The following is a 19,340-nucleotide window of genomic DNA, read 5'->3' on the forward strand; positions in this document are numbered from 1 at the left end:
CTCCTTTTCATATTGCTTTTGAAATAGCTTTTTAATGTGGTATTAATTTTTAAATTACTTTTGGTTAAACCAAGCAGACTATAACTTTTTTTAAAAAACAAACTCATCTACTGCTATATCTTTTCTATGCTAAAGATCTATGACTTTAAAATGTGGGAAGGCAATGAGAAGAAGGGAAAAAAAGCTTGTAGAAAAATAATAAAGTTTCATCTTTCCACAGTATAGATCAATTTTTACCAATGGAAAAAGACATACACTATGCATCTACAAATACCTGGTTACAGAATAATTCAAAATACATAAAACCATACATTTATAATAACCCTTTAATAAGATTCCTCATATCATCTTTGAGATAGAAATCAAATACCAACAGAACTGAAAAAATGCTAATGATTACCTTTTATTTATCTATTTATTTATTTATAAGAGTCAGGGTCTTGGCTCTGTCATCTGGGCTAGAGTGCAGTGGCATGATCATAGCTCACTGTAGCCTCAAACTCCTGGGCTCAAACAATCCTCCTGCCTCAGCCTCCTTAGTAGCTGGGACTACAGGCATGTGCCACCATGCCTGGCTAATTTTTTTTATTTTTTGTAGAGACAGGGTTTCACTATATAGGCCAGGCTGGTCTCAAACTCTTGGCCTCAAGTGGTCCTCTTTCCTGGGCCTCCCAAAGTGTTAGGCTTACAGGTATGAGCCACTGCACCCAGCCTATTTATCTTTTGATAAATATATTAACACAATAGCCAAAAGGTAGAAGCATCCAAATGTCCATCACTGGATAAATAGATAAATAAAATGTGGATGGAAAACAATAGACTATTATTCAGCTTAAAGAGGGAGAAAATTCTAACACATGCTGTAAAATGAATGAACTTTGAATAATGCCAAGTGATTTAAGCCAGTCATAAAAGGAGAAATACTGCACTTATATGAGGTACCTCAAATGGTTAAATTAATGGAGACAAAGTAAATGGTGGCTGCTGGAGGCTGAGGAGAAGGGAAATAGGAAGTTAATTGTTTCATAGACACAGAGTTCCAATTTGGGAAGATGAAAAAAGTTTTGGAGAGGGATGGTGGTGATGGTTGTACAACAATGTGAATGTACTTAATGCCACTGAACAATATACTTCAAAAACTGTCAAATGTTAAGTTTTATGTATGTACATTTTATCTCAATAAAAAAATTAAGTGAAAATGAAAAAGACTTTATATTTCATTCCTGCTTTTTAAGAGTGATCTGTTTGTATACTAAAATGCCTATATCAGATTGATAGTAATTATAGCAACTCTGAAATAAAAGCAATCTGGTTTTATAATAGTCAAAAATTTTTTTAAAATAAAAAATAAATAAATAAAATAAAAGCAAACTATCTCCCAACCTTATTAATCAAGGAATTGAATTCCATTAGTCTACAATCCTTTCTCAGGTCATCTTTTGGCTTACACATCATGATGTAGAACTTTCCATCTGAGCCTTTTAAAGAAATCTTCTTTGGTTTCTGAAGAGAAGCAAGAATTTCCACCTAAAAGATGATGAGTTATATATGAATTAGGGCCAAAAATTTCTGTGTAAATGTCTATATATTATAAACCTTGAGTTATGTAAAAAAAAAAAAAGAATATTACCAGCTATATTATGTAGTGAATTTGTATTTTAAAAATCTTTTATTTTAATTATCTATGACCTATGAAAAGAATGACTGTCTATGAACAGAAACATTTTCACCCATTAAAAATAGCTATGACATAAAAAGATTACTTCATCGCCAATACAAGTACTTACATATTCAAATTTAGACACCCCCCTTCAAAGCAGTCAAAATGTTTAAAAGATTTTTGAAACATCTTTTCAGGATCTTTCTGCGGAGCCTGAGACTCTGTTTTTCAAGCTTTATCAATTAAAAGTAGTTTGATTTTTGAAAAAACAAACTCCTTCAAAATTAAGTGTACCTAATGAAGTGAGTAAATAAGATGAATAATACTGCTTAAATTAAAAACAAAGCATAGACTGGGTACAGTGGCTCATGTTTGTTACACTAACACTTGGGAAGGCTGAGCAGGAGAATGGCTTGAGCCTAGGAGTTCAAGACTAGCCTGGGCAACATGACGAAACCCCGTATCTACAAAAAATTTAAAAAATTAGCTGGGCATGGTGACATGCACCTGTAGTCCCAGCTACTCAGGAGGCTGAGGTGAGCAAATTGCTTGAGCCTAAGAGGCAGAGGTTGCAGTGAGCTGAGATCGCACCACTGTATTCCACCCAACCCGGGCAACAGAATGAGACCCTGTTTCCAAAAAAAAAAAAAAAGAAAAGAAAAGAAAAATCAAATTGTGAAAAAATAAAGATTATAGTCATACTAAAACAACAGGAGCATTTGAAAAATCAAAACGTTACGGTGAATGTGAATCATGAATCAGAACTTTTTTTAATCACTGAATTTTTTTGCCATCAGTACAAATGAGTTTAGTTTTACTCTTCTGTATTTCCAATTATTTTTCTTCACAAATAAGATTCACGTAGATTTTGTGAAATACACTTTTTATCTTAATTTGAAGTTTTTAACAACTAAATTTTAAAATCATAGTCATATAAAACTGAAGTTTACCATATCATCAAACCCTGCAATATAGGCCCAATGTCCAGGAAATGGTTCATGGCTAGCATGGTTAGCATGGGTACCCAGAATTGATGGAAGTGTAGGTATCATGACTGATTGTAGAGGAATGAGGATTTCACTAAATGTTGCTTCTTCTACCAGCTTTTTAAGCATTTTAAAATGAGTGCTCATGCTTAATGTGGAACTACTTCCATCAACCTGAAAAAATAAATAGTGCATTTTAATTTGTTTTTACCTTAAATTCCACTATAACAAAAATTTCACTTTTACAATATTTTGATTACAAAGGTTCAGCAGTCTGTGGTTTTCTAAGTATTTCCTAATCATCCCATTTTAACCTCTGTCATTTACCTCATTAATAATAGTACCTACATCATAGGATTGTTTAATGATTAAAGGAGAGAGTAGAGGCCTATAATCTATTATCAAATATTAGAAAATCCAAAGAGCTCTGTAAATTAAACTCTCACTGAAGAAACAGTTATGTGTTTGATTATGGGATACTCCAACAGGTTACCCTCAGTGGAAATATCAAATATTAAATATGCACTAAAATCTTAAAAATCCTAAATTTCTAAGTGTAGCTTGCCACAAAGGTTTCAGATAAAGAACTGGAAACCTGTACATGTAAAGCACTTACAACAGTGTTAGTGTTTTAATAAATGTTGGCCACCATAACACTGTTTTTGATAATGTCAAGTGCATCAGAGGTCAAATGGGATTAATGGAGATAATAAATGCAGATTACCCTTTTGAGATGTTTATTGATAAAGGAAAGGTGAGAAATAGTCTGTATCTTTTCATCTATAAACACTGATGCACTCTGAATATTTGTCAAGTGAAGTCTAGCTATGTACCTTATTAAAGAACTTCTCTCTCCCTCCTTATAACCACCCCCACCTCCCACTTTTATCTTTCCTATACATCCTTGGGGGTTTTTCTCTAATACTTAGGTAGAATTATGGGGTTACTCCTGTAACCATGTTCCTACTTTAGTCACAAATCTACCGAAAAAAGTACTTATTACTCTAGATAACCATCTGCTTAGTTCCCTAAAAGACTGTAAGCACCTCAGGCATGAGAATAGATTTTATTCATCTTGTTTCCCTTAGCATAGTGCTTGTCCCCTCATAGGCACTGAAATGTGTACTAAAAGAATGAAAAGCAAAACCCCAACCCTCTTCCCTATCGTAAGTGTAGTTTAATAATGTATATGAATTTTGAAAGTTTAAAGATATGATATAATCATAGACTACCATAAGTAACTTAGAATATTTTACATACTTATATTTTTATGGCTTATTTCATATTCTCTACTAAAAATTGCTGAGAAACATGGATATCTACTCTCGGAAAATTCTTAATTCACACTAAGAAGAACTTTTAGAAATATTAGAGGGTATTTGGAAGTAAGATGTATTAGAAATATTAAAAACTGCTTTATTAAGACAAATCATACATAATTAAAATATACATTTTGATATATGTGTACACCTATAGTTAGAATTTTAATTTAATTAATCAAATGAAAAAATCTGCTCAAATTATATACATAATTACCCAACATCAGTTTATAAGCACTAAGATTATGATAGTACCGGTTTATTGCACAATTCTAGAAGCTTATCTGTTAGGCGAGTTGCATCTCCAACAAACTTCTCTAAGGATTTTTTCATATGAATAGCTTTATTGAGGATTTCCTTGCATCTGTTCACACGCATGGGATAAGATGACTGTCATAAAAAAGAGTTAAATGTCATAAAAAAGAGTTTATACAGGATTTTTAAAAGATAAATTTTTTGCTTGACAAAAAACTTAAAAAGTATTCATGATGAGAGTTTATATGATACAAATTTTCTGAAAATTTATTTGGCAATGCTATCAAGAGCCATACAAATATTGCCACCCTATAACTTTGTGAATTATAAAGTTATAGGGATCTGCCCTGGAGAAATAATTACAAGTGAGAATAAACATAGACATATCTAGATGTGTTACAATTGCAAGAAAAATAGAAATAACCTTAATGATTAACTAAACAGTTAAATAAGTTATTGAAGGCTATTTTTTAGAATTTTATATATTAAAATTATATCTTCAAATTATATTTAATAACATGGAAACAATAAAGTGAAAAATATGAAATTGTACGGCAACATAATTAAATTTAGTGTTAAAATATGCTAGAAAATATACAAATAAAATTACATCAAAACATTAATGAATGGCCCAAGGTGTGAATTTTAATTTTTGTTTTATGTCTCTGTATTGTCTAAATTCTCTAAACATTTACTTATTACATATATTGACCAACATATGAATTCCCATTAATGATGCAATAACGGTTTTTTAGTATTAATAATTCAGGTACTGGCGGGGCACGATAGCTCATGCCTGTAATTCCAGCACTTTGGGAGGCCAAAGCAGAAAGATCACTTGAGCCCAAGAGTTTGAGCCCAGCCTGAGCAACACAGCAAGATCCCATCTCTACAAAAAGAATTTAAAAATTAACTGTACATGGTGACACACCGCTATCATCCTAGCTACTGGGAAGCTGAGGCAAGAGGATCACTTGAACCCAGGACTTTGAGGCTGCACTGAGCTATGATCCCACCACTGCATTCCAGCCTGGGCAACAGAGAAAGATCCTGTTTCTTAAGGGAAAAAAAATAAAAATTCAGGTAGTTTGGATTAAAATATTTGTGAAAACATAGGTAACCATTTTGCATCAAGCATTAACTGTTTACTAGACTTCATAAAGAAAACACATGCTGAATTATTTGATCTTAAACATACTAGTTACTTCATTTCATATGGTAAATATATCCAAATATTAAGATATAATGCTATAAATTTCTCTCTTTAAAAAAATATTTAAAATTACTAATCTAATACAGGAGAGACGCCCTGGAACTTGTATCTACATATTAGTATTACATAATCAAGTTCATATAAAATGGTAAAAGATCTTTTCATATAAAAAGGTAAAAGACCCTTTTACCTTTGACACAGCTGTCATCATCCACATTGCTTGTTGAGGATAGGCTAGAAATACTTTGGCTATTATTTCCATCAAGACAACAAAAACTTCATCGTGAGAATGACAAATTCGAGAGATCAATTGTGAAAAAGCAGTCAAAAATTGATATGGAGCTAAATAGTTTGTATGCTCTGTGATAACCTTGTTTATTTTACCCAAATCATTCCTCATTTGTACACGATCGGAGCGGCCAGCTGGGGGAAGAAATAAGTTTAAAAAACAATAAAGGAAAGAGAAAAATCAGTATATCAGTTCATTTCACAGAAGAAAAATTTTGCTTTAAAAATAGCTTTAAAGTATGTTATTCCCATGCCCAAGGTTAGGTCACTTGCCAATTTGTGAAAAGATAGTTGTCTCTGTCCAACCAGAAAAAATATTTAGAGCCATTCAAAAACCCAAGGGACATTAATTTTCACTATCCATTTTAATTTTTAGGGTAAATTATTTGGCTAAAACTAACACATTTTAATATGTGTTAGATTCATTAAGAAATAATCAGATTTGTATTTGTGGCCCTGAATTAAAACTACTTTAAAAGTCTATGATTTGTCTTTCCTTTTTAACATTTAGTATCTTACTCACACTTACATAATATCTTAATTATCAAATTCATTCCAAGCTTCTAGGAAATTAGACTGTCCAGCCAAATCTGACTTTATACCAAAGTTATAATTCCTAGTCCTTTAAAACTTTTACGTGAAGAGTTATACCTTTTTCCCATTCATATGCCTTTGTACCATAATCAAGCCATAGAGTTAACATTCGTGGCATTGACTGATATATGAACTGATTTCCATATTGTAGAGATCTGCAATTATATAGACAAGAAACACTATTAGCATAGCTGTCATTTTTATATTATACGAATTAAAATTTAAAGATTCAAACTACCACATACCGTTTTCACAAAAATTATGGTATCAATATTTCTTCCTAGAAGTTATTTTTGACTCCTCTGTCTCCTTTTTAGCTCACTTAGTTCTACATTCCCTGTACCAAAAACATGTACATACTGTATGTTTCCACTTACAGTATACAGAATTTGTACATTATACAAATTCTGCTCTAATCAAAGTCTATCAATACTTCTTTCAATTTTTCCTTAGGATCTCTGTGCCTTCATTTGCATTCTTTGGCCATAAGCCTAGGTTAGGTCCAATCATTCTATTTCTGGGAAATTATAATAACTTGGTCACCCTAAATCCATATTTCTACCCTTCAGTAAATTCCAGACTAACATTCCTGAAATTCTGGCTTTATCATGCTCTCCCCTTATTAAAAAACAGGAATCAATACCTACATATTAAAACTATATAAATGATTCTGCCTGGGATTCAAACATTCAGAATCTTTTATCTCCATAATTTTCCAATCTTAGCATCTTGCCACTCACCAGTATACATCTTCCATCAGGTCTAGTTTCTGCACCATCCTACAAACCAACCACTCAACGCTGTTTCTGGTAAAATTTGTGAAAAGTTAAAGTTCTCTCCTTCTTGAATTTTTTAGGGGCCTGGACATCAGTTTATTTTCAAAAGAAATTTTATTGTGGTAAAACATACATAACATAAAATTTGCCATCACAACCATTTTTAAGTGTACAGTTCAGTGTTATATTAATATGGTTGTACATTCACATTGTTGCGTAATCATCACCACCATTCCCCCTCCAGAACTTTTTTCATCTTCCCAAATTGGAACCTCGTACCTATTAAACAGTAACTTCCCGTCTCCTTCCCCACCCAGTCTCTGGCAACCACCATTGTACTTTCTGTCTTCATGAATTTGACCATTGAAGGTACCTCATATAAGTGGAAACATACAGTATTTGTCCTTTTTGTGACTGGCTTATTTCACTTAGCATAATGTCCTCGAGGTTCATCTATGTTGTACCATATGTCAGAATTTCCTTCCTTTTTAAAGCAGAATAATATTCCATTGTGTCTACATCACATTTTGCTGATCAATTAATCTCCCAATGAACTCTTGCACTGCTTTCATGTTTTAGCTATTATGAATAATGTTGCTATGAACACGAATGTACAGATATCTTTTTGAGACCCATAGAGACAGTTTAATGACATAGAATTGCATTTACCATTCTACAACTATAGAAGAAGTGGGGACTTTCTTTTCCCCTTCTTATTTTGTCAAGATTAATTTAACCAGAAATTAGGAGAGCTAGCAGGTTTTTTTAAAGGTGCACAACATAATGTTTTTGTTTTTAAACATTTCATTTATTTATTTAAATCAACAAATAAAAATTGTGTATATTTATTGTGCACATGTTTTGAAACATGTATACATTGTGGAAGAGCTAAACCAAGCTAACTCACGCATGCTAATTATTTCACATATTTATTTTGTTGTGGAATAAAATCTATTCTCAGCAATTTTCAATACAAAACATTTGTTAACTATAGTGACCATGTTGTAGAGTAGATCTCTTTAACTTATTCCTTCTATTTAACTGAAGTTTTATGTCCTTTGACCAACATCTCCCCAACTCCTCACTACTCCAACCCCTGGTAATCACCATTCTACTCTCTAGTTCTATGAGTTCAACATTTTTAGATTCTACATATAAGTAAGATAATTCAGTATTAATCTTTCTGTGCCAGGCTTACTTCACTTAGAATAATCTCCAGGTTCATCCATCTTCGCACAAATAACAGGATTCCTTCTTTTTTAAGCCTGAATAGTATTCCATTGTGTGTGTGTGTGTGTGTGTGTGTGTGTGTGTGTGTGTATAAGTATACATACATATGCCACATTTTCTTTATTCATTCCCATGTTGATGGACACTTAGTTTGATTCCATAGCTTGGCTGTTGTGAAGATGCTGCAATGAACATGGGAGTGCAGATATCTCTTCAACATATTGATTTAATTTCCTTTAGATATATACCCCATAATGGGATTGCTAGATCATATGATATTTCTATTTTTAATTTTTAAGGAATCTCCATACTGTTTTCCATAATGGCTCTACTAATTTACCTTCCCACCAACAGTGTATAAGGGTTCCCTTTTCCCCATATCCTCTCCAATGCTTGTTATCTTTTGTCTTTTATATGATAGCCATTCAAACAAGTGTGAGGTGACATCTCATTGTGGTTTTAATTTGCATTTATCTGATGATTAACGATGCCGAACTTTTTTTATATACCTCTGTTGGTCATTTTTATGTCTTCTTTTGAAATATGTCTGCTCAGACCCTTTTCCCATTTTTTTTAATTGGGTAATTTGTTTCCTTTTTTCTATTTTTATTTTTATTTTTTCAGACAGGATCTGGCTCTGTTGCCTGGGCTGGAGTGCAGTGATATGATCCTGGCTCACTGCAACCTCCACCTCCTAGGCTAAAGTGATGCCCCTGCCTCAGCCTCCTGAGCAGCTGGGACTGCAGGTGCATACCACCACGCCCGAATAATTTTTGTATTTTTTTGTAGAGATGGGGGTTTCACCATGTTGCCCAGGCTGGTCTTGAACTCCTGGGCTCAAACGATCCATCTGCCTGAGCCTCTCAAAGTGCTGGGATTACATGCATGAGCCACCATGCCTGGCCAGGTGATTTGCTTTCTTACTATTAAGTTGTTTGAGTTCCTTACCTATTTTGGCTATTAACCCCCTATCAGATGTGTGGTTTGCAAATACATTCTCCCATTCTATAGGTTGTCTTTTCACTCTGTTGATTGTTTCCTTGGCTATGCAGAAGTCTTTTGGTTTGTATAATATCATTTGTCTATATTTGCTTTTGTTGGCTGTGCTTTTTGGTTCATATCCAAAAAAATTATTGCCCAAACCAATGCCATGAACCTTTTCCTCTATGTTTTCTTCTAGTAGTTTTACAGCTTCAGGTCTTACATTTAAGTTTTTAAGCCATTTTGAGTTGATTTTTGTATATGGTGTAAGGTAAGAGTGTAATTCCATTCTATTGCATGTGGACATCCAGTTGTCCCAACACCATTTATTGAAGAGACTGTCCTTTCTGCATTGTGGGTTCTTGGCACCTTTGTCAAAGATCAATTGACTGTAAATGCGTGGATTCATTTCTAGGGTCTCTGTTCCACTGGTCTATGTAGCCATTTTAATACTAATGTCATACTGTTTTGATTATTATAGCTTTGTGGTATAATTTTGAAGTCAGGTAGTGTGATGCCTTCAGCTTTATTCTTTTTTTTTTTTTTTAGAGACATAGTCTCAGTCTGTCACCCAGGCTGGAGTGCAATGGCACAATCTCGGCTCACTGTAACCTCCACCTCCCGGGTTCCAGCAACTCTCCTGCCTCAACCTCCTGAGTAGCTAGGATTACAGGTGCATGCCACCATGCCCAGCTAATTTTCTGTATTTTAGTAGAGATGGGGTTTCACCGTGTTGCCCTGGCTGATCTTGAACTCCTGAGCTCAGGCAATCCACCCACCTCAGCCTCGCTATGATTACAGGTGTGAGCCACCACGCCCGGCCAGCTTTGTTCTTGCTCAAGATTTCTTTGGTTATCTGAGGTCTTTTCTAGGTCCATACAAATTTTAGGATTTTTTTTTCTACTTCTGTGAAAAAAGTTATTGGATTTTTTTTTTTTTTTTTTTGAGACTCCCAGTCTGGAGTGCAGAGGCACGATCTTGGTTCACTGTAACCTCCGCCTCCTGGGTTCAAGCAATTTTCCTGCCTCAGCCTCCCTAGTAGCTGGGATTACAGATGTGTGCCACCATGCCTGGCTAATTTTTGTATTTTCAGTAGAGACTAGGTTTCACTATGTTGGCCAGGCTGGTCTCAAACTCCTGACCTCAAGTGATCCACCTGCCTCAGTTTCCCAAAGTGCTGGGATTATGGGTGTGAGCCACTGTGCCCAGCCAGAATTTTTAAACAAAACAAAACAAAAAAAAAAGGAAAGAAAGAATAAGCTATTGGAATTCTGATAGAAACTACATTGAATCTGTAGATCACTTTGGGCACTATGAACATTTTAATAATATTAATTCTTCCAATACATAAACAGGATATCTTTCCATTTGTTCATGTCTTCTTCAATTTCTTTTCATCAATGTTTTATAGTTTTCATTGTATAGGTCTTTTGCCTTGTATTTATTCCCAAGTATTATATTTTATTTTTGTAGCTACTGTAAATGAGATTGTCTTCTTAATTTATCTGCAAGTACTCTGTTATTAGTGTATAGAAATGCTACTTACTTTTGTATGTTGCCTTTATATCCTGCAACTTTATTGAATTCATTTATTTGTTCTAATAGTCTTTTATTGGAGTCTTAGGGTTTCAGTATATAAAATCATGTCGTCTGCAAATAGAAAAAAATTGATGACTTCTTTTCCAATTTGGATGCCTTTTATTTATCTCTCTTCTCGAATTGCTATGGCTAGGATTCCTGGTACTATATTGAATATAAGTGGCAAGAGTGGGCATCTTTGTCTTAATCTTAGAGGAAAAGCTTTGAACTTTTCACCACTGAGTATGATGTTATCTTTGGGGTTATCATACATGGTCTTTACTGTGTTGAGGTACATTCCTTCTATACATATTTTTTTTTTAAAAAAAGTTTGTTTTTTTTTAAAAAGCCTCTTTTATTTTAAAAAACAAAGGAATGAAAAACACAAAATTGGGAATAGTGGTTGCCTCCAGGGATAGAGGGGTGACATAAAGGTTAGACTAGATTAATGGATGTTCATTCTATTATTATGCTTTACAACTTATATACATGTTATGTTTTATATATATATGTTTTTAATTATACTTTAAGTTATAGAGTACATGTGCACAACGTGCAGGTTTTTAGATATGTATACATGTGCCATGTTGGTGTGCTGCACCCATTAACTCGTCATTTAACATTAGGTATATCTCCTAATGCTATCCCTCCCCCAGCCCCTCACCCCACAACAGGCCCCAGTGTGTGATGTTCCCCTTCCTGTGTCCAAGTGTTCTCATTGTTCAATTCCCAGCTATGAATGAGAACATGCGGTGTTTGGTTTTTTGTCCTTCGATAGTTTGCTGAGAATGATGGTTTCCAGCTTCATCCATGTCCCTACAAAGGACATGAACTCATCCTTTTTTATGGCTGCATAGTATTCCATGGGGTATATGTGCCACATTTTCTTAATCCAGTCTATCATTGTTGGACATTTGGGTTGGTTCCAAGTCTTTGCTATTGTGAATAGTGCCGCAATAAACATACATGTGCATGTGTCTTTATAGCAGCATGATTTATATTCCTTTGGGTATATACCCAGTAATGGGATGGCTAGGTCAAATGGTATTTCTAGTTCTAGATCCCCGAGGAACCGCCACAATGACTTCCACAATGGTTGAACTAGTTTACAGTCCCAACAACAGTGTAAACGTGTTCCTATTTCTCCACATCCTCTCCAGCACCTGTTGTTTCCTGACTTTTTAATGATCGCCATTCTAACTGGTGTGAGATGGTATCTCATTGTGGTTTTGATTTGCATTTCTCTGATGGCCAGTGATGATGAGCATTTTTTTCATGTGTCTGTTGGCTGCATAAATGTCTTCTTTTGAGAAGTGTCTGTTATATCCTTCGCCCACTTTTTGATGGGGTTGTTTTTTTCTTGTAAATTTGTTTGAGTTCTTTGTAGATTCTGGATATTAGCCCTTCGTCAGATGAGTAGATTGCAAAAATTTTCTCCCATTCTGTAAGTTGCCTGTTCACTCTGATGGTAGTTTCTTTTGCTGTGCAGAAGCTCTTTAGTTTAATTAGACCCCATTTGTCAATTTTGGCTTTTGTTGCCATTGCTTTTGGTGTTTTAGACATGAAGTCCTTGCCCATGCCTATGTCCCAAATGGTATTGCCTAGGTTTTCTTCTAGGGTTTTTACGGTTTTAGGTCTGACATTTAAGTCTTTAATCCATCTTGAATTAATTTTCGTATAAGGTGTAAGGAAGGATCCAGTTTCAGCTTTCTACATACAGCTAGCCAGTTTTCCCAGCATCATTTGTTAAATAGGGAATCCTTTCCCCATTTCTTGTTTTTGTCAGGGTGGTCGAAGATCAGATAGTTGTAGATGTGTGGCATTATTTCTGAGGGCTCTGTTCTGTTCCATTGGTCTATATCTCTGTTTTGGTACCAGTACCATGCTGTTTTGGTTACTGTAGCCTTGTAGTATAGCTTGAAGTCAGGTAGCGTGATGCCTCCAGCTTTGTTCTTTTGGCTTAGGATTGACTTGGCAATGCAGGCTCTTTTTTGGTTTCATATGAACTTTAAAGTAGTTTTTTCCAATTCTGTGAAGAAAGTCATTGGTAGCTTGATGGGGATGGCATTGAATCTATAAATTACCTTGGGCAGTATGGCCATTTTCACGATATTGATTCTTCCTATCCATGAGCATGGAATGTTCTTCCATTTGTTTGTGTCCTCTTTTATTTCCTTGAGCAATGGTTTGTAGTTCTCCTTGAAGAGGTCCTTCACATCCCTTGTAAGTTGGATTCCTGGGTATTTTATTCTCTTTGAAGCAATTGTGAATAGGAGTTCACTCATGATTTGGGTCTCTGTTTGTCTGTTATTGGTGTATAAGTATGCTTGTGATTTTTGCACATTGATTTTGTATCCTGAGACTTTGGTGAAGTTGCTTATCAGCTTAAAGAAATTTGGGGCTGAGATGATGGGGTTTTCTAGATATACAATCATGTCGTCTGCAAACAGGGACAATTTGACTTCCTCTTTTCCTAGTTGAATGCCCTTTATTTCTTTCTCCTGCCTGATTGCCCTGGCCAGAACTTCCAACACTATGTTGAATAGGAGTGGTGAGAGAGGGCATCCCTGTCTTATGCCAGTTTTCAAAAGGAATGCTTCCAGTTTTTGCCCATTCAGTATATTGGCTGTGAGTCTGTCATAAATAGCTCTTATTATTTTTAGATATGTCCCATCAATACCTAATTTATTGAGAGTTTTTAGCATGAAGGGCTGTTGAATTTTGTCAAAGGCCTTTTCTGCATCTATTGACATAATCATGTGGTTTTTGTCTTTGCTTCTGTTTATAGGATGGATTACATTTGTTGATTTGTGTATGTTGAACCAGCCTTACATCCCAGGGATGAAGCCCACTTCATCATGGTGGATAAGCTTTTTGATGTGCTGCTGGATTCGGTTTGCCAGTATTTTATTGAGGATTTTTGCATCAATGTTCATCAGGGATATTGGTTTAAAATTCTCTTTTTTTGTTGTGTCTCTGCCAGGCTTTGGTATCAGGATGATGCTGGCCTCATAAAATGAGTTAGGGAGGACTCCCTCTTTCTCTATTGATTGAAATAGTTTCAGAATGAATGGTACCAGTTCCTCCTTGTACCTCTGGTAGAATTCGGCTGTGAATCCATCTGGTCCTGGACTTTTTTTGGTTGGTAAGCTATTAATTATTGCCTCAATTTCAGAGCCTGTTATTGGTCCATTAAGAGATTCAACTTCTTCCTGGTTTAGTCTTGGGAGGGTGTATGTGTCCAGGAATTTATCCATTTCTTCTAGATTTTCTAGCTTATTTGCATAGAGGTGTTTATAGTATTCTCTGATGGTAGTTTGTATTTCTGTGGGATCGGTGATATCCCCTTTAACATTTTTTATTGCATCTATTTGATTCTTCTCTCTTTTCTTCTTTATTAGTCTAGCTAGCAGTCTATCAATTTTGTTGATCTTTTCCAAAAACCAGCTCCTGGATTCATTGATTTTGTGAAGGGTTTTTTGTGTCTCCATCTCCTTCAGCTCTGCTCTGACCTAAGTTATTTCTTGCCTTCTGCCAGCTTTTGAATGTGTTTGCTCTTGCTTTTCTAGTTCTTTTAATTGTGATGTTAGGGTGTCAATTTTAAATCTTTCCTGCTTTCTCTTGTGGGCATTTAGTGCTATAAATTTCCCTCTACACACTGCTTTAAATGTGTCCCAGAGATTCTGGTATGTTGCGTCTTTGTTCTCGTTGGTTTCAAAGAATATCTTTATTTCTGCCTTCATTTCGTTATGTACCCAGTAGTCATTCAGGAGCAGGTTGTTCAGTTCCCATGCAGTTGAGCAGTTTTGATTGAGTTTCTTAATCCTGGGTTCTAGTTTGATTGCACTGTGGTCTGAGAGACAGTTTGTTATAATTTCTGTTCTTTTACATTTGCTGAGGAGTGCTTTACTTCCAACTATGTGGTCAGTTTTGGAATAGGTGTGGTGTGGTGCTGAGAAGAATGTATATTCTGTTGATTTGGGGTGGAGAGTTCTGTAGATGTCTATTAGGTCTGCTTGGGGCAGAGCTGAATTCAATTCCTGGATATTCTTGTTAACCTTCTGTCTCGTTGATCTGTCTAATGTTGACAGTGGGGTGTTAAAGTCTCCCATTATTATTGTGTGCGAGTCTAAGTCTCTTTGTGGGTCTCTTGGACTTGCTTTATGAATCTGGGTGCTCCTGTATTGGGTGCATATATATTTAGGATAGTTAGCTCTTCTTGTTGAATTGATCCCTTTACCATTATGTAATGGCCTTCTTTGTCTCTTTTGATCTTTGTTGGTTTAAAGTCTGTTTTATCAGAGACTAGGATTTCAACCCCTGCCTTTTTTTGTTTTCCATTTGCTTGGTAGATCTTCCTCCATCCTTTTATTTTGAGCCTATGTGTGTCTCTGCACGTGAGATGGGTCTCCTGAATACAGCACACTGATGGGTCTTGACTCTATCCAATTTGCCAGTCTGTGTCTTTTAACTGGAGCATTTAGCCCATTTACATTTAAGGTTAATATTGTTATGTGTGAATTTGATCCTCTCAGTATGATGTTAGCTGGTTATTTTGCTCGTTAGTTGATGCAGTTTCTTCCTAGCATCGATGGTCTTTACAATTTGGCATGTTTCTGCAGTGGCTGGTACCGATTGTTCCTTTCCATGTTTAGTGCTTCCTTCAGGAGCTCTTTTAGGACAGGCCTGGTGGTGACAAAATCTCTCAGCATTTGCTTGTCTGTAAAGGATTTTATTTCTCCTTCACTTTTGAAGCTTAGTTTGGCTGGATATGAAATTCTGGGTTGAAAATTCTTTTCCTTAAGAATTTTGAATATTGGCCCCCACTCTCTTCTGGCTTGTAGAATTTCTGCCGAGAGATCAGCTGTTAGTCTGATGGGGTTCCCTTTGTGGGTAACCCGACCTTTCTCTCTGGCTGCCCTTAACGTTCGTTCCTTCATTTCAACTTTGGTGAATCTGACAATTATGTGTCTTGGAGTTGCTCTTCTCGAGGAGTATCTTTGTGGCGTTCTCTGTATTTCCTGAATTTGAATGTTGGCCTGCCTTGCTAGGTTGGGGAAGTTCTCCTGGATTATATCCTGCAGAGTGTTTTCCAACTTGTTTCCATTTCCCCATCACTTTCAGGTACACCAATCAGACATAGATTTGGTCTTTTCACATAGTCCCATATTTCTTGGAGGCTTTGTTCGTTTCTTTTTATTCTTTTTTCTCTAAACTTCTCTTCTCGCTTCATTTCATTCATTTGATCTTCAATCACTGATACCCTTTCTTCCAGTTGATCGAATCGGCTACTGAAGCTTGTGCATTCGTCACGTAGTTCCTGTGCCGTGGATTTCAGCTCCATCAGGTCCTTTAAGGATTTCTCTGCATTGGTTATTCTAGTCAGCCATTCGTCTAATCTTTTTTCAAGGTTTTTAACTTCTTTGCCATGGGTTCCAACTTCCTCCTTTAGCTCGGAGAAGTTTGATCATCTGAAGCCTTCTTCTCTCAACTCGTCAAAGTCATTCTCTGTCCAGCTTTGTTCCGTTGCTGGTGAGGAGCTGCGTTCCTTTGGAGGAGGAGAGGCCCTCTGATTTTTAGAATTTTCAGTTTTTCTGTTCTGTTTTTTCCCCATCTTTGTGGTTTTATCTACCTTTGGTCTTTGATGATAGTGACGTACAGATGCGGTTTTGGTGTGGATGCCCTTTCTGTTTGTTAGTTTTCCTTTTAACAGTCAGGACCCTCAGCTACAGGTCTGTTGGAGTTTGCTGGAGATCCACTCCAGACTCTGTTTGCCTGGGTATCAGCAGCGGAGGCTGCAGAACAGCAAATATTGCTGAACAGCAAATGTTGCTGTCTGATTGTTCCTCTGGAGGTTTCGTCTCAAAGGGGTACCCGGCCGTGTGAGGTGTCAGTCTGCCCCTACTGGGGGATGCCTCCCAGTTAGGCTACTCAGGTGTCAGGGTCCCACTTGAGGAGGCAGTCTGTCAGTGCTCAGATCTCAAACTCCGTGCTGGGAGAAGCACTACTCTCTTCAAAGCTGTCAGACAGGGACATTTAAGTCTGCAGAGGTTTCTGCTGCCTTTTGTTCAGCTATGCCCTGCCCCCAGAGGTGGAGTCTACAGAGGCAGGCAGGCCTCCTTGAGCTGCAGTGGGCTCCACCCAGTTCCAGCTTTCCAGCCACTTTGTTTACCTACTCAAGCCTCAGCAATGGCGGGCACTCCTCCCCCAGCCTTGCTGCCGCCTTGCAGTTCGATCTCAGACTGCTATGCTAGCAATGAGAGAGGCTCCGTGGGCATGGGACCTTCAGAGCCATGCACGGGATATAATCTCCTGGTGTGCTGTTTGCTAAGACCATTGGAAAAGCGCAGTATTAGGGTGGGAGTGACCTGATTTTCCAGGTGCCATCTGTCACAGCTTTGCTTGGCTATGAAAAGGAATTCCCTGACCCCTTGCACTTCCCAGGTGAGGCAATGCCTTGCCCTGCTTCGGCTCATGCTCGGTGCGCTGCACCCACTGTCCTGCACCCACTGTCTGACAAGCCCCAGTGAGATGAACCCGGTACCTCAGTTGGAAATGCAGAAATCACCCATCTTCTGCGCTGCTCATGCTGGGAGCTGTAGACTGGAGCTGTTCCTATTCGGCCATCTTGGAACCGCCCCTCTGAAACTTTTTAGTCATAAAAGGATGTTGAATTTTGTCAAGTGCTTTCTCTGCATCTATTGAGATGAGATGATCATATGGTTTTTGTCCTTCATTCTATTAATGTGGTATATCAAATATATGTATTTGGATATGTTGAACCATCCTTGCATTCTGGAGTAAATTCCACTTGGTCATGGTGAATGATCCTTTTAATGTGCTGTTGAATTTGGATTACTAGTATACCTTCTTCATGAGGTTTACCAGACTTTTGTAGCAATTCAATGCAAAGAAGTACACTTTTGAAATCATAAAGCCAGTGGCTTGTGGCTTGACTTTTGACCTCCATGACTTCTGGACTTGTTTGGTTCACTTTTGGTATCTGGCTAATATAGCCTCCCACATAGCTGGGACCATGGTTGTACACCCTATGCCTGGCTGATTTATTTATTTTTTGTAGAGATGAGGTCTTGCCATGTTCCCTAGGCTTTTCTTGAACTCCTGGGCTCAAGCAATCCTTCCATTTCAGCATCCCAAAATTCTGGGATTACAGGCATTAATCACCGTGCCCAGCCATATCTGATATTTACTACATTTATTTTGATTTATTTATTTATTTTTTTTTTGAGATAGAGTCTTTCTCTGTCACCCAGGCAGGAGTGCAGTGGCATGATCATAGCTCTCCGCAATCTCCACCTCCTGGGCTCAAGCAATCCTCTTGGCTTAGCTTCCCTTGTAGCTGGGACCACAGGTGTGCACCACCATGCCTGGATAATTTTTGTATTTTTTTTGGTAGAGATGGGTTCTTACCATGTTGCTCTGGCTGGTTTTGAACTCATGGGCTCAAGCAATCTGCCTGCCTCAGCCTCCCAAAATTCTGAGGTTACAGACATGAGCCACTGAGCCCAGCCTATTTTGATATCTAATCACACATTCTATTATGTACCATTATTTAAATGTTTTATGTACTTAAGGTTTCTAACCCTAATTGGATCCTAGATTCTTAAGGGCAAACATTGATATTTAATCAGTAATAACACAATTATTCAGTCAGGGGATAAATATGTCTCAATAGCTAAGTTTACTCCCTTAAGCATACAAATATTTTATTTTAACTACTATGGATAGAAACAGGTTTTAAAATGTACTTACATTCCTGAAGGGTACTTTAAAAATACTCACTATACATAACAGTTTTATGCATATAGAGGACTTTATATAGCCACTTGTTTTAAAAGAAATGTGTTAAGTAAATTCTATATCCCAAGGCACATGATATATACTAAGACTAAAGAGCAAACAAAAGAAGCTATTACTCATTTTTCAAAAGAACTGGGCCAAGAGTGATGGCTCACACCTGTAATCTCAGAGCGTTGGGAGGCTGAGGTGGGAAGATTGCTTGAGGCCAGGAGCTCAAGATCAGCCTGAGCAACATAGTGAGACCCTGTCTCTACAAAAAATTATTTAAAAACATAGTTGGGCATGGTGGCATGTGCCTATAGTCCTAACTACTAAGGAGGCTGAGGCAGGAGGATCACTTGAGCCCAGAGTTCAAGGTCATAGTTAGCTATGATTGTACTGCACTCCTGCCTCAGTGACAGAGTGATACTTTGTCAATTAAAAAAAAAAAAAAAGAAGAACTGCCTTTAGTACCTTTACTCATTTTGCTACCCTAATACCATTGATGATGAACAAATATTGCTTTTTTTTTCCATTTTTTTTCTCGTGTGACACAGCCCTCAGGAGATCCTGAGAACATATGCCCCCTTTCTTTCTTTTTTTTTTTTCTTTCTTTCTTTTTTTTTTTTTGAGACAGGGTCTTGCTCTGTTATCCAGGCT

The 19,340-nt window shown here is 36.8% G+C and overlaps 1 protein-coding gene across 8 annotated transcripts in view; it reads right to left on the minus strand.

The window, feature by feature from the left end:
• The window catches only part of ATR (ATR checkpoint kinase), a 129,499-nt gene that overhangs the window by 14,479 nt on the left and 95,680 nt on the right, over nt 1–19,340 (minus strand). For 6 of the 8 annotated variants that reach the window (NM_001354579.2, XM_011512925.2, NM_001184.4 and 3 more), the window contains 5 exons: nt 6,373–6,470; nt 5,624–5,856; nt 4,221–4,355; nt 2,611–2,820; nt 1,384–1,527 (listed from right to left, as the gene is read on the minus strand). In NM_001354579.2, the coding sequence (NP_001341508.1) occupies nt 1,384–1,527; nt 2,611–2,820; nt 4,221–4,355; nt 5,624–5,856; nt 6,373–6,470 (820 nt within the window). Of the gene's footprint in view, nt 1–1,383; nt 1,528–2,610; nt 2,821–4,220; nt 4,356–5,623; nt 5,857–6,372; nt 6,471–10,853; nt 10,953–19,340 lie in introns of those variants that run through there. The other 2 variants (XM_047448363.1, XM_047448362.1) reach the window with 2 other exon arrangements.

This window comes from Homo sapiens, chromosome 3, assembly GCF_000001405.40.
Source record: "Homo sapiens chromosome 3, GRCh38.p14 Primary Assembly".
In the NCBI taxonomy this organism is placed as follows: domain Eukaryota; kingdom Metazoa; phylum Chordata; class Mammalia; order Primates; family Hominidae; genus Homo; species Homo sapiens.